The 7,988-nt window shown below is 43.2% G+C and overlaps 1 pseudogene; it reads right to left on the bottom strand.

Moving 5' to 3' along the window:
- AKAP8P1 (A-kinase anchoring protein 8 pseudogene 1) lies at window positions 4,014-5,368 on the bottom strand (annotated as a pseudogene).

Here is a 7,988-nt window from a genome sequence, read left to right as displayed (position 1 = left end):
CAGATTGAACAACTATCCACACAAAGAAGCACCTTCGTAAGAACCAAAAATCAGGCAAGCAATCACAGTACCTGGTTTTAACATCATATTAAGGAAAGAGGCTAAAAAAGAGACAATCTTAAATCACCTACACTACCCCTCTCCACCTCCCAGCAGCAGCCACGTGATGCGGAGAGAAAATCTGTGTGCTTGCAGGAGGGAGAGCACAGTGATTGTGGAATATTGCATTGGAACTCAGTGCTGCCCTGTCACAGCAGAAAGCAAGAAGGGGCAGGACTCAGTCAGCGCCCATGGAGGGATTATTTAGGCCAGCCCCAGCAGTAGGAATTTGAGTTCCAGCAAGCCACATCACTACAGGCTAAAGGGCTCTGGGGTTCTAAATGAACTTGGATGGCAGTTTCAGCCACAAAGAATAGCATTCCTGGGCAAGTCCTGGTGCTGTGCTGAACTTGGAGCCAGTAAATTTGGGGTGCATGCAATCTAGTGAGACATCAACTGAGGTGGCTAAAAGAGTGCTTACATCACCCCTTCTCCAACCCAAGACAGTACAGCTTGCAGATCCAGGAGAGACTCCTTCCTTCCACATGAGGAGAGGAGAGAGAAGAGTAAATAGGAATTGTCTTGTGAATGGAATACTAGCTTAGCCACAGAAGAAATCACCAGGCAGAGTTCTGAGGCCCCCTTTCCAGGCCCTAGCTCCTGGATGACATCTCTAGACACACCCTGAGCCAGAAGAGAACCTGCTGCCTTGAAGGGAAGGAAGGATACATTCCTGACAGGATTCATCACCTGCTGAGTAAAGAGCCCTTGGGTCATGAATAACTAGCAGCGATAGCCAGGCAGTATTACCATGGGCCTTGGGCGAGACTCAGAGCCATGCTGGCTTCAGGTGTGACTCAGCACATTTCCATCTGTGGTGGCTATGGGGAGAGACTCCTGCTTGAGGAAAGGAGAGGGAAGAGTAAAGGGGACTTTTTCTTGCAGCTTGGGAGCCAGCTCAGCCACAAGTGGGATTCTGCTGTCCCTGATTCCAGACCTTGGCTCCTGCATGGTATTTCTGGACCTGCCCTAGGCCAGAAGGGAGCCCACTGCCCTGAAGCAAGAGACGCAGGCCTGTCAGTATTCACCACAAGTGAACTGAAGAACCCTTGGGCCATGATTGAACATCAGCACTAGCCAGGCAGTATTTGCTGCAGGCCTGTGGCAGTGATGGCCACAGAGAGAGTCTTCTCTACTTGAGGAAAGGGGAGGAAAAGTTGGAAAAATCTTGCAGCTTGGGTGCCACATTAGCTAGAGCACCAAGTAGATTCCTAGGTTCCCAACTCCAGGACCTGACTACTGCGCACCATTTCTAGACCTACCCAGGGACTGGGATAACTCACCTCTCTGAATGGAAGAGGAGAAGCCTGACCAGATTTGCCACCTACTGATTGTGGAGCCCTTGGACATTGAGAAAACATAGGTGGTAAATAGGTAGTGGTCACTGCAGGCCCTGGGTGAGACTCAGTACTGTGCTGGCTTTGGGTCAGACTCAGTGCAGTCCCAGTGGTGATGCTCACAGGGGTGCTATTGTCACCCCTCAGGCAGCTCAGCACAGTAATAAAGATTCCATTTGGGAGAAAGTAAGGGAAGAGAACAAGGATCTCTGACTGGTAATCCAGAGAATTATCCCAAATCTGACCCAAGAGCACCACGGTGCTACCTCTATGAGCCTCCAAGAACTAGTGTATTACTGGGCTTGGGATGCCCTCTAATGCAGATACAGTGCAGTGACAAAAGACTTAGATCACAGCAACCAAGTACCTTTGAATATTTGGAAAGCCTTCCCAATAGAAACAGGTACAAAGAAGCCCAGACTGTGAAGACTACAAGAAATATCTAGCTCTTCAGTTCCAAGACACTGAAAAATATCCATAAGTATCAAGACAATCAAGGAAAATGTGACCTCACCAAATGAACTACCTAAGGCACTAGTGACCAATCCCAGAGAGGCAGAAATATGTAACCTTGCAGAGAGTAGATTAAAAATATCTCTATGGAAGAGCTCAGTGAAAGTCAAGATAAGACAGAGAAGGAATTCAGAATCCTATTACAGAAATTTAACAGAGATTGAAATACTTTTTGAAATCAAGAAGAAACTCTGGAGCTGAGAAATGCAACTGCATACATAAAAATGCATTAGAGTCTCTTAACAGTAAAAGTGATCAGGTGTAAGAAAGAATTAAGGAGTTTGAAGACAGGCTATTTAAAAACACATAGTCAAAGGAGAGAAAAGAAAAAAGAATACAAAAGAATGAACCAGATCTACAAGATCCAGAAAATAGCCTCCAAGGGGTAAATCTAAGAGTTATTGACCTTAAAGAGAAGGTAGGCCAGGCAGGGTGGCTCATGCCTGTAATCCTAGCACTTTGGGAAGCTGAGGTAGGTGGATTACCTGAGATCAGGAGTTCAAGACCAGCCTGATCAACATGAGGAAACCCCATCTCTACTAAAAATACAAAAATATTAGCTGGCCATGGTGACAAATGTCTGTAATCCCAGCTACTCAGGAGGCTGAGGCAGGAGAGTTGCTTGAACCTGGGAGGAGGAGGTGGAAGTGAGCCAAAATCACGCCATTGCACTCTAGCCAGGGCAACAAGAGCAAAACTCCATCAAAAAAAAAAAAAAAAAAAAAAAAAGAAAAGAAAAAAGAAGGTAGAGAGAGTGATTGGGGTAGAAAGTTTATTCAAAGGGATAATAACAGAGAACTTCTCAAACCTGGAGAAATATATCAATATCCAAGCACACGAAAGTTATAGAACATCAAGTGGATTTCACCCAAAGAAGACCACCTTGAGACATTCAATAATCAAATTTCCAAAGGTCAAGGATAAAGAAATGATCCTAAAAGCAGCAAAATAAAAGAAACAAGTAACATACAAAGATCTTCAATATGTCTGGCAGCAGACTTCCCAGTGGAAAGCTTACAGGCCAGTAGAGAATGGCATGACATACACATAGCGTTGGAAAAAAATTATCCTAGAATAGTATATCTGTTGGGAACAGGCCCCCAAATCTGGCCATAAACTGGCCCCAAAACTGGCCATAAACAAAATCTCTGCAGCACTGTGATATGTTCATGATGGCCATGATGCCCATGCTGGAAGGTTGTGGGTTTACCAGAATGAGGGCAAGGAATAACTGGCCCACCCAGGGCAGAAAACTGCTTAAAGGCATTCCTGAACCACAAACAATAGCATGAGTGATCTGCACCTTAAGGACATATTCCTGCTGCAGGTAACTAGCCAAACCCATCCCTTTGTTTTGGCCCATCCCTTTATTTCCCATAAGGAATACTTTTATTTAATCTATAATCTATAAAAACAATGCTTATCACTGGCTTGCTGTCGATAAATATGTGGGTAAATCTCTGTTCAAGGCTCTCAGCTCTGAAGGCTGTGAGACCACTGATTTCCCATTCCACATGCAATATTTCTGTGTGTGTATCTTTAATTCCTCTAGTGTCACTGGGTTGGGGTCTCCACGACAGAGCTGGTCTCAGCAATATCCAATAAAAATATCCTTTAAACATGAAGGAACAATAAAGACTTTCCCAGGCAAAGAAAAACTGAGGGATTTTATAACATCAGACCTATTTTACAAAAAATGCTCAAGGGAGTTCTTCAATCTGAAATAAAATGATGTTTATGAGCAATAATAATTCATCTCATCTGAAGATATTGCACAAAATTCACCTGTAATAGTGAGCACACAGAAAAACACAGAATATCATAACACTGTAATTCTGGTGCATAAACTACTCATACCTTGAGTAGAAAGACTAATAGATGAAACTATCAAAAGTAAGAAATACAACAAATTTTCAAGACATAGTATAGTAAGACATATAATAAGACAACCACAAAAAATTATAAAGCAGGGAGATGAAGTTGCAGTGTAGAGTTTTTATTAGTTTTCACTTTGCCTGTTTGTTTATGCATTCAATGTTAAGTTGCCATTAATTTAAAAAATAGGTTATTGAGGTCAAGGAAGTGCAGGTGTGGCTGGAGAAGCTGTGGCTGCGCTGGGATCAGCACGGCGCAGGCCAGGCAGTGAGCAGCCTGGATCTTCTTAAAGTGCTCCTGGCCAATCTCTTTGAAAGGATCTGGTTTTTGTTTTGTGCTTTCTTTCTCCATCAATTCCTGATGCTTCTTCTCAATTTTTTTATTCCTGTTTATAATGTATTCCCGGATGAATTCCATTGTCTTGTTGGGCAGCTTGGTGCTTATAAACTGCAGCGTCTCTTTGTGAAATTCGCTTTGCAGATGCTTCTGGATCTCTTCGTCTTCAAATCTACAGAAATTGCACACAGAAGAGGCCAACTGAATCCTTCCGGCTGCTCAGTACTGCATCCTGTCTCTCCTCCTTTATTTTTCCCTCCTCTTTTTCACTTCCTCATCCTCGTCGTCCTTCTCTCTGCCTACCAGAGTCACAGAATTCATCCTCACCTTTGAATTCTTCATCTTCTGAGTGGAAGTCACCAGCTTTGTTATCATTTTCTGAGAAATCTACTTCACTGTCAACCCAGGCTAGTTTGGCATCTGGCTCCTTACAATTCTGGAACTGCTTCTGTTTCCTTCCCATGCCATCTAGCCCAAACGGGTCAAACCCTCTCCTTCTGGGTGGATCCTGATCCTGCTTCTGGCCCTGCGAGTGACCACATCCTTAAGGCCAGCGCTGTCATAGCCACCCGCCTCCTGCATGCCCATCAAGCCTTAGTCAGGAACCACGGACGGGGAGAAGAGCCAAGGAGGCCATTGGCTGGGGAGAGGGCCTTTCCAGACCCCATCCACTCACGTAGTTCAGCTCTTTCTAGGGCGTAGATAGAGGATCAGGGGAGGCTGAGGGTGGCTAGAAGGGGTCGTTGCACATGAAGGTGCCGGGATTGCTCTGGTCCTGGAAATGGCCCTGGCCTCGCCCGGCATGAAGCCATTGAGGGAGCCCTACTCCAGGGCCAGGTCTCAACATTCACTGTACTGCCCCCGAAAGCTGCCATTGCGGTGGAACCCCAGGTCGAAGTCATAGTCGTAGCTGTAGCTGGGGCAGTAGGGGCTGTGCTCTGGCAGGCAGGCCATGGAGTCACAGGACTCCAAGGTCTGCAAGTGGAAGGAGCTCTCCTGGTCCTGCATGCCCTCCCCACCGTGGCCGCTCCCCCCACTGCCTTCTTCCTTGGACATCATGTCCAAAAGCTGGTTGATCTTGGCAGTGAGGGAGTTGCAATTGTAGGTGCCCCGCTCTGGGCCATAAGAGGCCATGTGCATGGAAGTGGCCCTGGCCACCAGGCCACCTTTGCTTGCCTTGGTGGCCTCCTATGAGACTGGGCCAGCTGCTGAACAGTTCAAGAAAACCAGTCTCCATGTGGCTAAGAGTTTCTTGAACAACAGACAGATACCTCAGGTGTGAGGCCCCTTACACCAGTGAAACTGGTGATACAGAAATGGGAGGAGATGGCAATTTAGGAGGTGAGGATACAGAAGAGACACCTGAGGAGGTGGCGGCAGACATCTTGGCCCAGGAGATTACAACAGCAGTGAGGGCTGTAGATGGGAAAGGAGCACTGCTCTGGAGAGCAAGGCGATTGTGAAGGCCCCGTGGATACAGCCGACAACAGTAGTGATCCTCAAGCTGAACAGCTGCTGGAAGAGCAGATGCTCTGTGTAACAGCATCTGAGTAGGGGGCCGCGAGGCCAGAAGTGAGGCTGTGGAGGCTGGAAGTGGGGCTGAGACAAAGGCAGCAGAGGCAGAAAGTGGTGGAACCATGGCTGCTTCTGCTGCAGCTGCCATGGAAGTCGAAGTGAAACAAGCTGATGTGTAATCCGAAGATGCTGTTCGCACAGAATTGATGCTCATTTCCCTGTTCGAAGGGATGTGATGTATGACGGATGCCTTGCCCTTTCTCCTTTGACTTGTAAGCAGTACTAGGGTATGTGTTACCTTAAAATGCTCTAAACTAATATTGTTGAAGAGACCCAGCCATTTCTTCCTGAATTGTGCACCTCATGTCTTGTCTTTTGTGCAGTCATGTAGCTTCCCGCCTGGTTTTGAAAGCTGCAGAAGTTGTACATTCGCCCTAGCGGCTGTGGCATCTCTTGACTCTGTGGTTGGAAAATAAAGTTGGATAATTAGAAATAAAATAAAATAAATAATTATAGGTTAAAAATGTGATGTGCAATCTCATGGTAACCTCAAATTTAAAAACATATAACAGATATATACAAAAAAAAGAAAGAAATTAAGACAACCAAAGAAAATCACTTTCACTAAAAGGAGGACAGGAAGGAAGGAAGGAAAAGAAGACCACAAAACAATCTGAAAACAAATAAACAAACAGGCAGGAGTAAGTCCTTACTTATCAATAATAATTTGAATGTAAATGAACTAAACTCTTCCCATCAAAAGACATAGAGTGGCTGAATACATAAAAAACAAAAGTCCCAACAATCTGTTGCCTACCAGAAATATACTTCACCTAGAAAGACACATTTGATTGAAAATAAAAGGATGGTAAAAGATATTCCATGCCAAGGGAAATTAAAAAAAAAAAAAAGCAGGAGTAGCTATTCTTATACCAGACAAAATGGATTTCAAGACAAAAACTATAAGACGACACAAAGAAGGTCATTATATAATGAACAAGGGTCAATTCAGCAAGAGGATATAACAATTGTAAACATACATGTATCCAATACTGGAGCACCCAGATATAGAAAGCAAATGTTGTTAGAGCTAAAGCGAGAGATAGACCTCAGTACAATAAGAGCTGGAGATTTCAACATCCTACTTTCAGCATTAGAGAGTTTATCCAGAGAGAAAATTAACAAAAAATATCAGACATAATCTGCACTATAGACCAAATGGATCTAATAGATACAGAACATTTTACCCAACAGCTACAGAATACACATTCTTCTCCTCAACACATGCATCATTCTCAGGGATAGACCATATATAAGGCCACAAAACAAGTCTTAAAATATTCAAAAAATTAAAATTATATCAAGTATCTTCTCTGAACACAGAGAAGATACTTATTCTGGAATAAAACTGGAAATCAATACCAAGATGAATATTGAAACTATACATAGACAATAAATTAAATCATATGATCCTGAATGACCAGTGAGTTGATATAAAAAAATTAAGAAAAAAGTTGAAAAATTTCTCTAAAAAAAAAAAAAAAAAGATGATGGCATACCAAAACCTGTTGGATACAGCATAAGGAGTACTAAGAGGAAAGTTTATAGCAATAAGCACCTAAATCTAAAAGGTAGAAACACTTCAAATAAGAAACCTAATGATACATCATAAAAACCAGAAAGCAGGACAGGCATGGTGGCTCGTGCCTGTAATCCCAGCACTTTGGGAGGCTGAAGTGGGTGGATTACCTAAAGTCAGGAGTTTGAGACCGGGCTGACCAACATAGTGAAACCTTGTCTCTACTAAAAATACAAAAATTATCTGGGCATGGTGGTGTGTGCCTGTAGTCCAAGCTACTCGGGAGGCTGAGACAGGAGAATTGCTTGAACCCAGGAGGCAGAGGTTGCAGTGAGCCAAGATCACACCACTGCACTCTAGCTTGGGTGACAGAGCAAGACTCCATCTCAAAATAATAATAATAATAATAATAAAATAAAATGAAATTAAAAATTTTAAAAATATGTATAAAAAAAGCGCAAGAGTGAACCAAATCCAAAATAAGTGTAGGAAAAGAAATAAAGATTAAAGCAGAGAGAAATAAAATTAAAATAAAAAAATACAAAAGATCAATGAAACAAAAAGTTGGTCTTTTGAAATGACAAACAAAATTGCCAAATGTCTAACCTAAGAAAAAAAGAGAGAAGACCTAAATAAATAAAATCAGAGGTGAAAATTGAGACATTCCAACTGATACTGCAGAAAGTGAAAAGATCATTAGTGGCTACTATGAGCAACTCTACACAAGAAATTGG

The sequence above is a fragment of the Homo sapiens genome, chromosome 9 (assembly GCF_000001405.40).
Source record: "Homo sapiens chromosome 9, GRCh38.p14 Primary Assembly".
Lineage (NCBI taxonomy): Eukaryota > Metazoa > Chordata > Mammalia > Primates > Hominidae > Homo > Homo sapiens.
The sequence above is the reverse complement of the archived record's forward strand: the minus strand, read 5'-3'. Positions and strand labels throughout refer to the sequence as shown.